An 18,380-nucleotide genomic window follows, 5' to 3' on the forward strand; every position below is an offset into this window, starting at 1 on the left:
AGTCCTGAAGGCCAATATTCTGAAATCATATTGCTGTATGGAAATCCAGGTGTTGTCAGGGCTGTCTCAAGAGCTCCAAGGGAGGATCTGTCCTTGCTTCTTTCAGTTTCTGTTTGCTGACAGCATTCTTTGGCTTGTGGCTACATCACACCAATCTCTGCCTCTATGGTCACATGGCCACTTTCTCTCTGTATGTCAAATCTTCCTCTACCTCCCTCTTACAAACATACAAGTGACTGCATTTAGGGCTCATCTGGATAATCCAGGAAAACTGCCTCATCTCAAGATTCTTAACTTAATTACATCTTCAAAAATCTTTTTTTTTTTTTTCAAAAAATTAACATTTCCATGTTTTAGGAATTAGGACCCAGATACCATTCAACGGCTATTATTCAGCCCATCACAGTTATTCAATAGAAAATAAAAATACTTTGCTTCTGAGAGATTTTCTTAGATCATTTATTTAATAATTCTCTTTAATTTACTTTGTTTGCACTTTCTGGAATTCTTAATTTTGAGATCTTTGATTTTTTTCATACTAATTTTTTTATTTTGTTACCTTTTATTTCTCATCTTCTATAGTTTTTGAATTTCCAGGAGGGTTTCTCAAACTTAGCTTCCAGCCCTTTCCTTGTGTTTTAAATTTTATCTATTATAGTTTTAATTTCTATAAAAACTCTATTTTAATATAGAGCTCTTTGGTTCTCTTATTGTTTGATTTTCATAGCATTCTGTTCTTGTTTCATGAATACAGTATCTTATCTCCTTGGGGATATTAAATCTATTTTTAAAAGTTGTTTTTCTACTTATTGTATTGCCTCCATTTTCTTTTTCTCTGCTCTTACATTTTGATTTGTCTTTCATGTTGGAGGCTTTCCTCAAATGGCTAGTGCTGCTTGGTTTTCTGCTTAAAAACTCAAATACTAAAAAGCTGATTGGAAGGTCTATGTGTATGTGTGGCTTATTAATTGGCAAGCTTCACTTAGAGTCATGTTGCTTGGGATAGACAGGATGGTGCCCTAGGACTGTATCTTACATGTTGGGCTCTTCCATTCTCCAGAACAATTCTCTCATCGCCTGCCTGGGGTGTGCTGAGACCCAAGGAAAGAAGGAGGTTGGGAAGACTTCCTCTTTGTTATGATGACTTATTTATTTCCTGTGTCTTCAGCCTCATACTTTATCTTTTCTCTCTTCTTTACCAGCTACCTCTAAATCTAGAGACTCTGGTTCAATTTCTCCATCTTGTCAACACCTGGTATCCCGCCTGGACAGAGGAGTGTTGTTTCACTACTCAGGGTGGAGCACTTGGGCTGGAGTGCATGCTCTGTCTGGGAGTCTAATTAGCCTTTCTTTTTTTATTTTCTCTTGTGACTACTGCTTTCAGAAGTAAGTGGGGGTTCCAATTTCTAAGATTTTCTATGGCCTTAATAAACAATTGAATTTAACATACAACCATTTTTATTTATTTATTTTTGGATAAACAACAGACACTGAGCACAGTCCATGTGTCAGCTACGCTGGGCATAATCTGGGGAATGGGATTGTTTGGTGAGGTGAAGTATCAGTAGAGGAGCATGCAAGAGATAATCAAGAATTAATTGAGAACAGTCAGGACAAAACCAATCAGAAAAGTCCCTATGTGCTGTACCTTAGAGGTTGAATTCATTTTGTGGGCAATGGGGTTCCCATGAAAGGTTTGAAACAGAGAAGTGTAAGTGTCTGGCAAAAAGCTCAAAGAGAGCTTGCACACAACATTTCTCCATCTTCTTTCATTGTCATTGCTTTTCCTCTTTGTGCCCCCATTCTTCTTCCCGTTTCTTCCTTTATAATCTTCCTCAGAATAAACACTTTCATGTATAAATCTCTCAATGGATTTCTTTTCTTCGATTTTGAAGTATTGTATAATCATCTTTTCACCAATTTAGGTACTCTTGTTTTATGCAATTTTTTTTTAGTAACAGGCACAAAGAGTTTGATTGTTTGAAGCCGTTTTTTAATTATTGAAATGAACAGTTTACACCAATCAAAAGAAGTCAGTGCTTGGAATAGCTGCAAATGAATAGACAGAGAGATTTGGAGCATATTCTGATAACTGAACAGGAGGACAGCTTCAAGATTTGTGACTCAGGGTTGTCCAAGATTCCCATATTTTGAAGATTTGCAGGCGAGCCCGCAACCTGTTTAAAATAAGGCTCTCCTGTCTCAAATGCTGATCACACTTGTCCTATGAATAGACAGAGCGTATTTTATAAATGTCATCCAAGGGAAGGTCAGAGCTCCCCACCTGGTCCTTGTCTTTACCAGCTGTGAAAAGAGAAAGTTGTGAAGAAAGAGTTTCCAAAAAATTCACATCTCTTGACACATATGAAGAAAAAAAAGAAAATGAAGACAAATTTATTGAACACCTACTATGTGCAGGGCACTGAGCTGGGCACTTTCCCATGCATTTATCTTATATCATGCAATCATGCCAAGAGGCAGGTGGCTGTAATCCCATCTTCAAATGACAAAACGGAGAGTCAGAGATAGACAGGTCCATAACACAAAGCTGGAATGGGGAAGAGCAGAGTCTGCGCCCAGGGCTGTCTTTGTTCCCCAGCTGCATTTTCAGGTTCCAATAGAGTCTGAATCCATCCTATGGCTCCTTCTCATCCTACACTGCAGAGGGAAAAAGAACTCCAAAATGCTACTGCATATTCAGAGGGAAAGCATGTCTCCTTAGTGCCTACTCGTCAGCAGTGACAGTCTGTCTTCCCCTAGCTTGGTGCAGAGGGTCAATTTAAATCCTCTGAAGTGCCAAGAGCCCCATCTGCTCCTCCATCTGAAATGGGAATATTTTGCTCTTTTTTTTTTTTTTTTTAAATCTTGATTTGGTCTTTTGCTGTTTGTGTTGCAGCCTTCAGCCCAGATGCCAATAAGGAGGAAAATGTATTAAGTGATAAGGGGCAAATCAATGAAATTAAAATGAATGAGGGGGGAGAATCTGATATGGGGGCAAAAAATGAAGTCTCCCTGTAACAGCTAGTCCAGGCGTACCAGGGAATGCGAGCAGGTTCCTATGCGATTCCAGCAGACACTGACTAGAACCACACGTCTGGGGTAGAGGAGTCAAGACAGCCCAGGTAGATGTGCCAGAAACACCTTGAAGAGACTCTGCCTGAAGACACAGCCCGCTCTGTGGTACAGCTGCTGTTTATTAGGGATGCTCATATTTTATGGATGCGAGCCTGAGAGGGGAGTGCTGTGGTATGTTGGAATCGCAGTTTATCGGTTTTACATCCATGTGCAAAGCTACGACTCTCCACTGTAAGAATGTGAGCACAAAGTTTCAGAGAATGGCAGAATTACAGAGCTCTGGGCTAGCATGGGGGGAGTGTGTGGGATCAGGGACTCATGGAGCACTCACTAGGAATCGCAGGAACACGGGAATCAGCCTTGCCGTGAGAACCAGCCTTGCTGTGTGCTGCTAGCTGACTTCCAAAATCCCCCTGGGCCTGTTTCTTCAACCAAAAAATGGAGCTGAAGATGTATGTCACAGCAAGCCGATGTAAGAAGCAAAGAAAATGACTGTGTTTAACATATTGCCTGAAGATAACAATGTTTTATTAATGATTTTCTCCTAATCAAAAGCTCTTATTTTATAGTCGTGAAAGGAGAGACCTACAGAAGTAAAATTATTATTTTCCTTTTAAACAGTGCAATATTAGTTTATCTTTTTGCATTAATCAATGCTTTCTCAGATGAGCAGTCACCCTTGATCCTCACAGTGACTGTGAAGGAGCCCAGCAGGCCGAGGCACCCTCATTCTGTAGCTGAGATGCAGATGTGGGGTGCTGGAGCTTGAAAGCTCCGTGGGCTGGGGATCAGGGCGGCTTGCCCTGTGCTTGGCAAACTGCCCCCCGACGGTCTCCATGCTGCCAGGGAGTCTTCAAGGCTGCTTTGGGGGAAAGTAGGGACCCTCATCTTATATTTTATTATTATAAAATTATTATAAAAATACAAAAATATATAATATATAATAATATATATTATTATATATGATATATTAGAATACTATATAATATATTATATAATAAATATATAAAATATAAAAGTATTATAAATAATTTTATAATTAGACTTCTATGCAGGACTGTGTTTTGTATATGCAAAACAGATTCAACAGATTTCTTTAAAAGTTTAAAAACTCTTGAGTTATACTGATTTCTTGACTTGATGCACACAGAACAATGACTCAACTTGGAGAGGTGAAGACATCTCCCAGGTCACCCAGCTGCAGACAGTGCTCTGCCCCTCCCAGCAGGACTGTCACTCCTGCCACCAAACGACGACTCTTCCTTTTTAGGTATTAGTGGCATGTAATTGATGGATTCCTTATCAGGGTCAAAATGAAAGCTGAACCTTATATACATACAGGTGAGAAAATATTTTTGGAACCCCAAAATAGTCATTTTGGAAGTATTTCCATGACTACCTGGAAAACAGGTCGTTTCAAAGATTACCTTAAAAAAAAATCTATACGATAAGAAGTTGAAATATTGCAGAAACTTCAAATCCTGCCTTATTTAAAAGTTAAGGTGAATTAAAATAGTAGTGATAGAATTGTTTCCTAAGATACAGGGCAAATGGGAAATAGGCGTAGATGCCAAATGTTTCCTGTTTGAATTTCTAGGGCGTTAAAGGAATCAGGGAGCTATGTTGTTGAACGTGTCTGCAATGTCAGGTGAACTCTGGTGAGCCTGGAGCAAACAGGATTCTTTTTCACAATGCAGGGCAGACAGAAGAGTGAGGCCATTTCTCATTTCTCACTCCCCGCACCCCATGGTGACAGGACCTCAGCAGTTCCATCTGCAGGTGCCAGCTTCATTGTGGACAGACTCTGCTCTAAGGATGCCTGGTCTCAGTGTCCTGTGTTTCGACGGAGGTGCCCAGGGACAGCTCTGACTTCTCAGAGTCCTGGGTGGAGAGGGCCACCTGTTGTTTAGTCTTTTCTGGCAGGGCAGACCCATGACCAGGCTGCTTTGTGCCAAGCCAGGGGGGTCTTTGATTTCTTTGTTTCTCAACCAAGCAGACATTTTCTTTCCTTTTATTTATTTCTTCCTATCCCTGGCCTCTCATTTGATTTTTTGCTTGTTCAGCACAGCAGTACTTATTCCCTGCAAAATGAATTGATTTCTCCTTCCAGATGTTGGAAATATGAAAGTAATCTTGGCCCTACAGAGAATTGTCTTTGAGAAATCACCCACTTTGTCCTCAACAGCAGGTGTCACTGTTGTAGCAGAAAACCCTGCTGCTTCCAGGGCCCGGGCCAGCCCAGAGATATTTTTACCCAAAAGAGAAAAGGCCCAACATGAGATTCAAACTTGGCAAAAGAAATTCCAAAATGAATGTGAAACCTCATAAAAGGCTGTAAATTATCAGCGTGTCTTTAAACGCTGAGCCCAGGACTTTCAGCACCCATCCCTTGGGAAGAGAGACCGTGGGACTGGTCCCAATCTGCAATCACTCATGATCTCATCCATCCTGCAGCCCCAGGGCTGCTGTCCTGGCCTCACAAGGATGTAGAGGAGCAGTGACCGAATCCCCTCCTTGTCTCCTGGACCACAAGCCTCAGGGGAACACAGGGAATTTTGCTGTGCACGTGCTGGTGTCTGGCGCTCCAGGATTAGCTCTCCTGAGGACACTTTCAGCAAGAAGCTTGTATGCTGGAGCTCACAGGATTACGTGGTTTGCCCAAGGACACTCAGGTCATGAGTGGTGGAGCTAGAAGGAAAGCCATCTTTTGCTAGGCCCCACTGTTTCTTCTATGTATCTGGTATAGCTTGGACCACAGGGATAATGTGGTGGATGTAAACATGACTTCTCCCAGTTCTCTATGCAGAATACAGCATTGTTAAGTGAACCCAATTTAGATTCCCTTGTGGCCAGGGCATTTGGTGTGGCTGGGCCAACACCACTGGGAAAGGTGGTAATGGTTTCGAGATTCAAAACTATATTTCAAAATGTGCTTTGTTCTTTGCAAACATGGTCATTCACTTAAAGTTCAAACATCATGAAATACAAATAAGAAGTCAGAATTTGTATACCTTTAGGTACACAGGAAAACTGCTATGTCAGTAAATTGGGCCTTGACATGCTAACATACAGCTTAGCACATGGCCATAGAATTTAAGTACAGTGTGTTCACATCTGAATAGAGAAAACAAAAGAAATGAAGAAAAATTGGGAGAGCCTGGAGCTGGAGACCAGATGGGCATACAGCATGATCCATCATCTTCTCAAGCAGCGTCTCTCATCCCCAGCAAGGCCTGTACTGAGGGCTGGGTTGGGATTTGGGGTTGCTGTTTAGCAGAGTGGCTTATTCTTTTTTTAAATTTTTTTATTTTACTTTAAGTTCCGGGATACATATGCAGAACGTGCCGGTTTGTTACGTAGGCATACATGTGCCCTGGTGGTTTGGAACATGCCGGTTTGTTACGTAGGCATACATGTGTTATGGTGGTTTGGAACGTGCCGGTTTGTTACGTAGGCATACATGTGCCATGGTGGTTTGGAACGTGCCGGTTTGTTACATAGGCATACATGTGCCATGGTGGTTTGGAACGTGCCGGTTTGTTACGTAGGCATACATGTGTTATGGTGGTTTGGAACGTGCCGGTTTGTTACATAGGCATACATGTGCCATGGTGGTTTGGAACGTGCCGGTTTGTTACGTAGGCATACATGTGCCATGGTGGTTTGGAACGTGCCGGTTTGTTACATAGGCATACATGTGCCATGGTGGTTTGGAACGTGCCGGTTTGTTACGTAGGCATACATGTGCCATGGTGGTTTGGATCGTGCCGGTTTGTTACATAGGCATACATGTGCCATGGTGGTTTGGGACGTGCCGGTTTGTTACATAGGCATACATGTGCCATGGTGGTTTGGAACGTGCCGGTTTGTTACGTAGGCATACATGTGTTATGGTGGTTTACAACGTGCCGGTTTGTTACGTAGGCATACATGTGTTATGGTGGTTTACAACGTGCCGGTTTGTTACATAGGCATACATGTGCCATGGTGGTTTGGAACGTGCCGGTTTGTTACGTAGGCATACATGTGCCATGGTGGTTTGGAACGTGCTGGTTTGTTACATAGGCATACATGTGCCATGGTGGTTTGGAACGTGCCGGTTTGTTACATAGGCATACATGTGTTATGGTGGTTTACAACGTGCCGGTTTGTTACATAGGCATACATGTGCCATGGTGGTTTGGAACGTGCCGGTTTGTTACATAGGCATACATGTGCCATGGTGGTTTGGAACGTGCCGGTTTGTTACGTAGGCATACATGTGTTATGGTGGTTTACAACGTGCCGGTTTGTTACATAGGCATACATGTGCCATGGTGGTTTGGAACGTGCCGGTTTGTTACATAGGCATACATGTGCCATGGTGGTTTGGAACGTGCCGGTTTGTTACATAGGCATACATGTGCCATGGTGGTTTGGTGCACCCATCAACCCGTCATGTTGGTTTTAAGCCCCACATGCATTAGGTGGCTCATTCTTAACATGCAAGCCAGGCCCACTAAGGTAGGGCTGTGGCATCTGCAACACACCAGGACAGAGACCTCATTTTTATCAAGGGGAAGAGAAATCAGAATATTTGTTAATTAAAAAGTACTAGGTGCTCAGGATTCCTCAGAGGGAACAGATACATTTTTCCTAGAAGATGGAGGTTGTCTCGGTTGACTGGCTCAAACTCCACATCCCCAAAACAGGGCTAAAATTCTGAATCTGGAGCCAGCTGTGTAACCTTAATTAGTCATCTCATCTTTCCAAGCTGCATCTTCTGAATCTGAGAAATAGAATTTATAACACTATCTACTTGATGGGGCTGTTATGAGGAATAAAGGAGAAAATGAGTATACATCCTTATATACAGCAAATGTCTAACACATGTTAACTAAGGATTTATTCATAATAGATGAGGTGAATTCATACTTGGTCCTGCTTTCAGATGGACACAGCTTCACGGCTAGAGGGAACTTGGCTGTCAGAGGTAATCGGATGTCTTATCCCGTGAGGCACCGTGATCAGTGTTAGGGGTTGTTTGGAGTGCTGTCCTGTGTAGGATCCTGAAGCCTGATCCCACTTAAGTAGACAAGAGTTTTGATCTTAATTATCAATGCCTGTCAAGGGCATAGGAGAGAGAAGTGACATCACGGGGCTACATAGTCCCAATTTCATTCCCAAATTAGTTCAACAGCCTTATTTTCAGACAAGCCTAGAGTGGTCAGGAAAACTTGGAAAACACATTTTTCAAGCTAGTTTTGTGGCTAATGGAGGCCAGATCTCAGTCTCGCTATTTCTCATTCAATTCTGCTGCAACCACTGCCCCTCCATGCAGGAAAGGCAATTCACCTCCATCAGAAATAGAAAGCGCCCTATACAAGAAGGTTAGTGATACCCCTATGTTATTTTGCTCAAATCTTTGGGTTCAGGGAATAAATTCCTTAACTGCAAAGTGGAATTTCTTTAATTACTCTGCCCTCATCTGTACTCCCAGGACAGATCAAGGCACTGTGAATTTTGCTAGGTGTCCATCAGAAAGATGCAAGAGGACTATGGTTGAACAGAATCTCTAGAGACCTCACCCTGCCCCTGCTGAGGTGTCCCCTAAAACATGTACCTACAGCACTCTGGAAAGACGTGGAATGAACAATAGTTTAAAGGGAACGTTACAGGGAATATATGTTACAATAGCGTAGAAATAGCTGGAGGTGACCTTTTATGGTTTGGGTCAGCTTTCATTCTAAATGAGTCATGTTCTTTTTTCTCCTTTTTTCCCCTTCATGTTCTCCCTTCCCTTAGTTCACTGCATCCAGACAGAAGCTGGTTTAAAGAATAGGATCCATGTTAATCTATGGGTAGAAGTACTTCAAATCTCCACTTCCGATTTCAGACAAGCAGTGATCCTGCTTAACTAGCCCCACCTATTCAGTTTGGAACTGCCAGAAGGATAGACTTACTTTGGAGTAACCGTCATGTTTCTTGCTCTGGAAGAGGAATATCCTGGGATATAACAGCCTCTCAAGGCACAGGCAAAATGAAGGGGCAGACTGGAGGCAGCGCAGAGTGCCTGACCCAATAGGTAACTTCCATGAGACCAAGCCTCCACACACCTTGTCCAGGCCGTCTTCTCCTCGGAGTCTGTTTAAAGTAATCTGTTTGTGGCCGGGTGCTGTGACTCACACCCAGCTTTTGGGGAGGCCGACGTGGGCGGATCAACTGAGGTCAGGAGTTCGAGACCAGCCTAACCAACATGTTGAAAACCCATCTCTACTAAAAATACAAAAATTAGCTGGGCATGGTGGCGTGCACCTGTAGTCCCAGCTATTTGGGAGGCTGAGTCGTGAGAATTGCATGAACCTGGGAGGTGGAGGTTGCCATGAGCTGAGATCACATTCCAGCCTGGCAACAAAGTAAGACTCTGTCCCCCCGCCCCCCTGCCCCCAAAAAAGTAATTTTTGTGCCTTCTTTTCTTATCTGAATTTTGACTTCAGGGGCCAAAAATTCAGTTTCTCACAGATCAAATACCTATTTCTAACAATATCCAAGGACCTCTTTAACTCAACTCTTTCTGAAGATGGCAAGAGAATTGAGGAGGACCAAACCCACACTCAGGACTGAGAAGGAAAAAACCCTACACATTTTATTAAGCCTATTCATGCAGAACTACAAGCTCTATCTGTAGCGTGGGGTTCTAAAATTAATTCCCGCAGCTAAGTGTGACTAAGATAACCATCTCTATGGCAGCTTTTCCTTGATTTCTCATATTCTGTTAGCTGAACTCTGCTGGTCAGCTTCTGCAGGTGCCATGCCTTGTGGGCTCATGGCAATACGTGCTAAAATGTTCTTTTAATAATTTTTAGAAAGTCCTTGATTTTTAATTTCAGTTGCTAAAATATCACCATAAAGACCTCATTCTCACCAAGGATGTTGCTATAAAGGCTTCCTCTCCTCCCTCTGCTTTGCTTAGCTCAGCTCATTACCTGATGAGCGGGCAGAGGAAGATGGGGGTGCGAGTCAGGTGGGATCAGTATTTCTTTCTCTATTTGGGTGAACTCCAGCTCAGTTGGTGCCCATGTGTCTTTCATCAACTGCCTCTTTTTCATCAACTGCCTCTCTCTCTCATTATAAACATTCTGTGTTTCTTCTATTATAAATATTGCAAGAGATCTTTAAAACCTGTGGGGTTTGATTTATTTGCATTACCATTTGAAGAACAACTTCTGGATTCAGTTCTGAAATGACAAATGATCCATCTCCTCCCGTCTTTGAGCACTGACGATCTTCCTTGGTGGAAGCGGCTCCGGGTGTTAATATTCCACCAGTTCAAATCTGTTGATAGAGAACCCAGGTGTGAGCAGGCTGGCCGCCCCAGGTATTCCATTTAGGAGGGAACAGCACACTCAGGACACCTCAAGTCCTGCACCACAAGGTTCCAACATCCATCCAGGTTGGCACTCTTTGAGAGGCTCAGGCTGAAGTCACAGTTTCCCCCCTTATCTTGTGAGACTCACAGACAGGAGCTTCAAGCATCCATTGGCTGCCGAGGTATCTGCTGGTCTTTCTGATCACCCATGAGGGCAGATATTCCTGTGTAAGAACCTCCTGCCAAGGAGAAACTCTATCAGCTAAGGTGAGGGGAGATGCCTCTCCTTCAGTCCACAGTACTTTGTCTTTTGGAAAATGAATGAATTTTTGCAAAACCACTAACAGTACATTTTCAATAGGTGATCACTAACTTTAAATGAAAATAGTCAATTATTCCAAATCAAAGGGCCATCAGGGAGCTGGTGGTTACAGCCATTGTGTTTGCCTGTGCATTGCTCAGTTTGGAGCATCCTAAGTGCCAAGACACCTGAGTCTCTTCTCCTAGGAATTCCTAAGAGGTAGGGGCTCTAGCACAATTTGTTCCCTTGACTCTGTTGTCTCTGTGCTCCTGAGGCAGAGAGGTAGCCAGGAAACGTGCAGTTCTAGAGATATATCCTCTAGGTTCTTTTTGAAGTAGATGTTAAGCATTCAGAGGGGAAAGAAACAAGAAATGCACAAAGTGGGGAGAAACTTGGTAAGGAAAAATTTTTTAAATAGCATAGAAAAAACTGTAGCATAAAATCTAAATACCTTAAAGTTTTGGGCATATTTTGTAGGTGTCGAATTTAACTTGAGTGGTCTTAATTAGTCAACAAAGAGTTTCCATTTTTTTTTTACTGTGAAGACTGACAATGATTAAATAGAATAAGAATATACAGTGTTGAAGAGGGCGAGAGGGGTTGACATACACATACACAGCTGGTGTGAAAACAAATCACTGCAACCTCTCTGTGGCACGCATTGAAGGCTTTAAAAGTGATCAGTGTTTTGAACTGCTTTTAAGGATTGATTGAAAGAAAATTATTGATCAATTGCTAAAATATGGGTATACAATGATGTTCATTAAAGTGTTTTTTTAAAGTAACAACAAAAGTTAATCAACTGTAATCTTAATAATTGAAGGCTGTGTAGCTAATAATAGTCTAGGCTCATGCAGTAGAATGACACAGCCACTGAAATAATAATGGATATTTTTTCTACTCACATGAAAACTTGATAAAATATTACAGAAAATATATGCAGTATAATTTTATTGTATAACATAAGCATGTTTGTTGGAAATCTATAGGAAATTTTAAGACAAACTCCAAAATTGTTATAAGAAAATAAAATCCCCTCGTTCCAATTAGGTTAACGGAAGTCAAAGCAAGTTGATGTCAATATCCCATTGTTTCTAAAGGGCTTAAGCATCATCTTTCCTTTCCTTTCTTTCCTTTTCATTTGCTTTTGTTTTCTATTTTGCCAACAAAGCCATGCATTAATTGTATACTAAAAGTAACGAAAATGAAAATGGGTAAAACATCAACCTCAATTTGAATTTTTTCTTAAAATAAGAAATCAACAGTTATTTGATTGATCTCTATTTATTTTGTCCAAAAATACATGTTTATTATATAATCTGCATATCTTGTTTCTACAACTTTCAAATAGTTTATCACCATCATAAACATCAATCATCACTATCACTATTATTATTATAGCAACATAATATTACTATTGTAGCAATGTGATCTTGGTCAAGCTAATTGCCTCATAATCTATTACTCCCATTCATTTCTTAAAGAAGTAAGTATTATTACATGGAAGTGCCTAATTTCAGGCTTTTTTAAAAAATTATATTTTAAGTTCTGGGATACATGTGCAGAATGTACAGGTTTGTTATATAGGTATACATGTGCCATGGTAGTTCACTGCACCCGTCAACCCATCACCTACATTAGGTATTTCTCCTAATGCTATCCCTCCCCTACCCCCCGACCTCCTGACAGGCCCTGGTATGTAATGTTCCCCTCCCTGTGTCCATGTGTTCTCATTGTTCAACTCCCACCTATGAGTGAAAATATGCAGTGTTTGGTTTTCTGTTCCTGTGTTAGTCTGCTGAGAATGATGGTTTCCAGCTTCATTCATGTCCCTGTAAAGGATATGAACTCATCCTTTTTTATGGCTGCATAGTATTCCATGGTATATATGTGCCACATTTTCTGTATCCATTCTATTGTAGACAGCATGCATGTATGCTAGCAATCTTTTATTGCCATGTAATAGCTTTGAAAGTCTCCAGTTTGCTTATCCAATAGGAAACTTATCCAATAATTTATTTATTATTAACCACTTAGGCTAGTTCTGGTTTGGGCCTGGTAGAACTGAAGCTGAATGTTAAGTGTATGCCCTGTGGCAGCTGGGGCTAGAAGGTCCTATTTCCCTCCTTCTTAGATAAGGAGGACCATGTGACTTGTGTTGCTCAGTGGATCATGGGAAGAAGGAACAGCCCCTTTGAACTTTCGGTGGCATTCTCCACACCATCTCTTCTCTCCATTCTGAATGGCTATAGAGCATCTGGGGGAGCCTGAAGCCAGCAGATGCTCCTCAAAGGATGCCGGATCCCCTCAATGGATGGATCCTTGGAGGAGAACTCCCAGAGGAGTCTCGGCCCACGATGATCCACAATGGGCTCTGTGCAGCTGCAGAACCGACTCTTGTTTTGTTCTGTTAAGCTGCTAAGACTTGAGTCAATAAATTCCCAATATCAACTCAAAGAAGATGAACATTTATGTGGCTCTGGCTAAATATTGCCAAAATCATATGAATACTGTATGATTTTGCTTTATCTCCAGAGATATATGCCTATATGAACTGTATGTCTTTCATCTAGGGCAGAAAAGAACATTGTATTGGTCAGGGTTCTCCAGAGGGACAGAGCTAATAGGATATATGTACATATGAAAGGGAGTTATTAGGATAATTGGCTCACATGATCACAAGGCGAAATCCCATGGTAGGCCATCTGCAAGCGGGGAAGAAAGAAGCCAGTAGTGGCTCAGTCCAAGTCCAAAAGCCTCAAATGCAGGGAAGCTGACAATGCAGCCTTCAGACTGTGGCCAAAGGCTCAAGAGGCCCCATCAAAAGAGTCCAAAGTTCAAGAGTCCAAAGGCCAAAGAACCTGGAGTCTGATGTCCAAGGGCAGGTGGAGAGGGAGGAAGCATCCAGCCTGGGAGAAAGATGAAAGAAGACTCAGCAAGCCAGCTTATCCCACCTGCCTCCACCTGGTTTGTTCTAGCTGAGCTGGCAGCTGATTGGCATCCACATTAAGGGTGGGTCTTCCTCTCCCAGTCCACCAACTCAAATGTCCATCTCCTCTGGCAACAACCTCACAGACACACCCAGAAACAATACTTTACCAGCTATCTAGGCATCCTTCAATCCAATCAAGATGACAACTAATATTAACCATCACAAACATCTATATCTATGTCTGTAGAAATATATCTCTGTATATATTTTGGAGCAGGAAAACTATAGTAAGTAGGACCCAGGCTTAGGCATTTATATATGTCTTTCCCTCCCCTCCCCTCCCCTTTCCCCCTCCCCTTTCCCTCCTCCCCCTCCCCCTCCCCTTCCTCCCTTCCCCCCCTCCCCTCCCCTCCCCTCCCCTTTCACTCCTCCCCCTCCCCCCTCCCCTTCCTCCCTTCCCCCCCTCCTCCCCTCCCCTCCCCTCCCCTTCCCCCTCCCCTTTCCCTCCTCCCCTCCCCTTTCCCCCTCCCCCCTCCCCTTTCCCCCTCCCCTTTCCCTCCTCCCCCCTCCCCCCTCCCCTTTCCCCCTCCCCTTTCCCTCCTCCCCCCTCCCCCCTCCCCTTTCCCCCTCCCCTTTCCCCCTCCCCTTTCCCTCCTCCCCCCTCCCCCCTCCCCTTTCCCCCTCCCCTTTCCCTCCTCCCCCCTTCCCCCTCCCCTTTCTCCCTTCCCCCCCTCCTCCCCTCCCCTTTCCCCTCCCCTTTCCCTCCCCCCTCCCCCCTTCCTCCTTTCCCCCCTCTCCTCCCCTCCCCTCCCCTCTCCTTCCTTCCTTCCTTCCTTCTCTCTCTCTCCACCTCCCCTTCCTGCCCCAGGCAGCACTCTCCTTTTGGAAGAGAATACAAAATTTTTTAGTCCTACTTGGAGGAGATAAAGTGTTGTATGCACCGACACTGTTATCACTGCGCATTGCGAGCTCTCTCCTGAAGCTCTTTGCTTACTGCTTTTCTGATTGATCAGCTTGTTGTTCTGTTTACTCCTGGTCATGGATCTCTGTAATTGACCACATGATTTGGAGTCCTTATGTTTGTTTTCACTTTGATATTTTCTTAGCGTCCATTAAACACATGTTTACTGAGATCCTCTGTATGCCAGACACTGTACTAGGTTCTTAGTATAGTTTAGTGGATAAAACTGACATGGTCTTTGACTTTATGAAATTTGAAATTTGCAACAGTCCAACTTTGCCTCCCGGCTTTCTGTGTATAACCACAGGTCGGAGGCACCCTTCACTCAGGTCTTCTGACTTCCCAACTTCAGCTAGGTAAAATCATCCTCTGCCTACTGTTTTCCCATGAAGAAATTAGACATGTAAAGGAAAATGAGGCCTGAGCTGGGAGAAGATTTATATAAAAATCCACTCCATTTGTATCCCAAAGTTGTAAAATAGAATAGGAATTTTTATATTATTTTTGTAGTCAGAGTATTTTAGAAGGAACTAATATAGGTTGGAAAATTTGCTAACTTTGGGGTGACTTTGCAAAGAAATTTATAGGATCAATAAAAATATATGTATCTCTTTGATTTTACTTTTGTAACTCTTTCAACAAAGATATAGGTGAGTGGATGGAATATATGTTCATATATCTTCAACTATATTGTCTTGAATCAAGAAAACTGTCTTGTCTTCACAAAGAAACACTGGAAGATGCACTTCCTGTTCTTTTTCAGCACTATTCAAAATATTTAATAGCTGGTGCAGCACTGAGCACCAACTAGTCAGAATGGCTGTGGTTTTTGTTTTATGTTTTTTAAAGCTATTTGTGATAATATTTGCATGCTGGTGGGATAGCAGGGGAGCACTGGTGTAGGAACACAACTCCCAGTAAAATCACTGGGTTTCGAAGAACATCTTATTTTTCTTTTTTGGAGCAGGAAAACTATAGTAATGTAGGACTCCTGCTTAGGCAATGTCTTAGTTCATGCTGCTATAACTGAATACTATTGACTAGGTGACTTAAACATCAGCAATTGATTTCTCACAGTTCTGGAGGCTGGAAATCCAAGGTCAAGGCACTGGCAGATCTGGTGTTTGGTGAAGTTGCCCTTCCTGGTTTGCAGATGGCTGTTTTATCATGGTACCTTTACGTGATGGGGGGTCGAGGAGAGTAAGCTCCCTTATTTCTTCTTATAAGTGCACCAATCCCATTCACTGGACTCTACCCTCATGACCTAATTACTTCCCATAGGCCCTACATCTGAATACCAACACATTAGGAATTTCGGCTTCAGCATTTGAATTTGAGAGTAGAGGAACAGCACACACACTCCATTCATAGCAGCAGTGCATAACTTGAAGTTTGAATTGATTTCTATTCCCCTGTCTAGTGGATTGTCTTTAGCTGGATGATGATGGTCTGGTCCATTTAGTAACATCTCTGGATTCTGTTAGCAGATTTGAATCTCAGTTGCAGCCCTCAGCAACGACATGTTCTTGGGCAAATTATTTACACTTTAGAGGCTTAGTCTCCTAAACCACAAAATCGGGGCAATGTTATTTATCTTGCCCAATTGCAGTGCAGTTGAGACAGTACAAAACATGCAAGATGCCTGCATGGTCTAGCAAAAGTAGAGACTTTGTAGTGGTTCTTCTTATAAATATTAATAAAACAAAGTTAAAGTTGGCTTTTCAATAAAATCCTGCTTCCCTTGGAGGCAGTCTTTGAATGTGAAATAGTCTAAAAAACAAGCTAATTCTGTAGCCAGTGCAAATATTAATTAGCAGTCTAGCAAGAAGCAGGTCACAATGCTGAATGTCAGTGTGCTAAAATGTCTGCTAGTTTCAAGACAGTAGCACCTTGCTAATTTGTCATCAAGGGGCCCCTGGAGCTAAGAGAGATGACAAAAATCTGTGTGAAGAAGAAATTCTCACAGATTAAATCAAACTTCTGCAGTTTTATAAAAATGTGCTACTTTTGTTAGCTTTGCTTTGGAGTTTTTAATGCTATTCACATAATTGGCAGTGTTCTTCTAGAGGTGAACATTTACTTCTTCAATTACAAAAATTGGTAAATATTGTTTTTCCATCTAAAGGGGCAAAAGTCTGCACATTGTGGACCTGACACTAGAGACTTAATCCAACAGAAATTTCTCTCTGAATTTTGGTTGAACCATCTAGACATTTTCACCTGGCTCTGTCATCAAAATGAACACATTATGTTACTTTATCAGAAGAATTTAAAGATGCTTTGGTATTGTCACATAAGAATAGAGAAGTTTAACAGATTAAACCTAATGAGAAAGTTCACATTTTCAGAAGTAGATATTATGTGTTGAAAAGAGCCAACATTTTGAATTCAGATAATTCTCAGTGTCATTTCTTATTTTAGACTCGGTATATGAACTTGGGCCAGATACATAAAATAGGGAAAATTTTTCCTGCCTTATAAGGTTGATAGAGGTGAAAAGTGCAAACTGCTGGAACATACAAGACATAATTTTTCTTACAGATGTCTTTTAATATCACTGGAAAGGGAAAAACAGTCTCAGGTAGCAATTATCTCCTTGATTACAACTTTTCACCATCACAAATATTTAGAGACTTAGAGCTTCCCAGCAGTACCTGCAAAGGCCTACTCAAGACAGACAGGTACTCAGTTTTCAAACAGCAACTTGGTGGGAATTCAACTTACCAATATTTTGGGGTAGGAGCTTGGCTTTTCCAAGTGGCCTAGTGCACAAGTCTCAAGATAGATACGCTGTTAACAAGTAGGGCTTGGATTTGAAGTCTTATTCAGAGTGTTAGAGTAAGCACATTCCATATGCGTACTCTAAACCAGAATAAAAACCCTGGCAGGCTCTGCAGGATCTCACACCACCACGTTGCTCCTTTTGTTGATAGAAGACCTGCTTCATACCAACAGTACCAACATTTTAGGTGGGAGGCAGACCTGGGCTGAGGAGGCAATGCCACGCTGTTTAAATGTGAGAACCTGGGACCTAGGCTCTGTCTCAGTTCTGCCTGCAAACTTGAACAAGGCGTGCAGTTTCTCTGTAGTAAATTTCCTGATCTGCCAGGCCTCTCAGAGCTTGCCACTCTGCTCCCTGATCCTACAGTTCAGGAAAATGCATCTGTGCAAGTCTAGGTTTGCGTTGGAAAATTGCTCCTTCAATAAAGAAATAACAAAGGAGTGACTAGCTTGTAGATGCTACTGTATGAAAGCTTTCAGTAGTCAGAAACAGCATATTCTAACTGGGCTCATTTACATGTTTATTAGAGTTTATACTAAAGGAGACTCGACTGACAGTTTTGCCAGTGGGACAGTCTTCTGCTATACATGTCTACAATTTACATTTTCCCTGTTTTTGGCAAACAATACAATTCTCCAATTGAGACATTTATGTTCTATAACACTTTTTGTGTTTTTTTGGCCATAATTAGTATTAAGATGCTCTCGTTTACCTCCCAATGTTAATGCATAATTATGCACACTTAATACTTTGTTTTTACTTATAAACGTTGGTTATAAAGGTTTACTAGTCATTTTTACAAAGTTCTTTAGAGTAGTCAACTTCTTTGTTCCAATGGGAAATTATTTATAACCCCAAGCCATAAAATAGATAATAACATCTAACATTTTTTCAGTGCACGTTTTGTGTCTGACCCTTTACTAAGATATTTAACTCATATAATCCTCATAATAAATCTACAAGTTTAGGAAGGTAGCCTTA

The 18,380-nt window shown here is 41.9% G+C and overlaps 1 long non-coding RNA gene across 1 annotated transcript in view; it reads left to right on the plus strand.

Annotated features, from left to right (window-relative positions):
* Window positions 1-9,446: 9,446 nt before the first annotated feature.
* Window positions 9,447-18,380, plus strand: part of LOC124908053 (uncharacterized) — a 35,124-nt gene continuing 26,190 nt past the window's right edge. The window contains exon 1 of the long non-coding RNA XR_007088654.1: window positions 9,447-10,690. This is a non-coding gene — a long non-coding RNA (uncharacterized LOC124908053). The remainder of the gene's footprint in view (window positions 10,691-18,380) is intronic.

Source organism: Homo sapiens, chromosome 2 (genome assembly GCF_000001405.40).
Source record: "Homo sapiens chromosome 2, GRCh38.p14 Primary Assembly".
Classification (NCBI taxonomy): domain Eukaryota; kingdom Metazoa; phylum Chordata; class Mammalia; order Primates; family Hominidae; genus Homo; species Homo sapiens.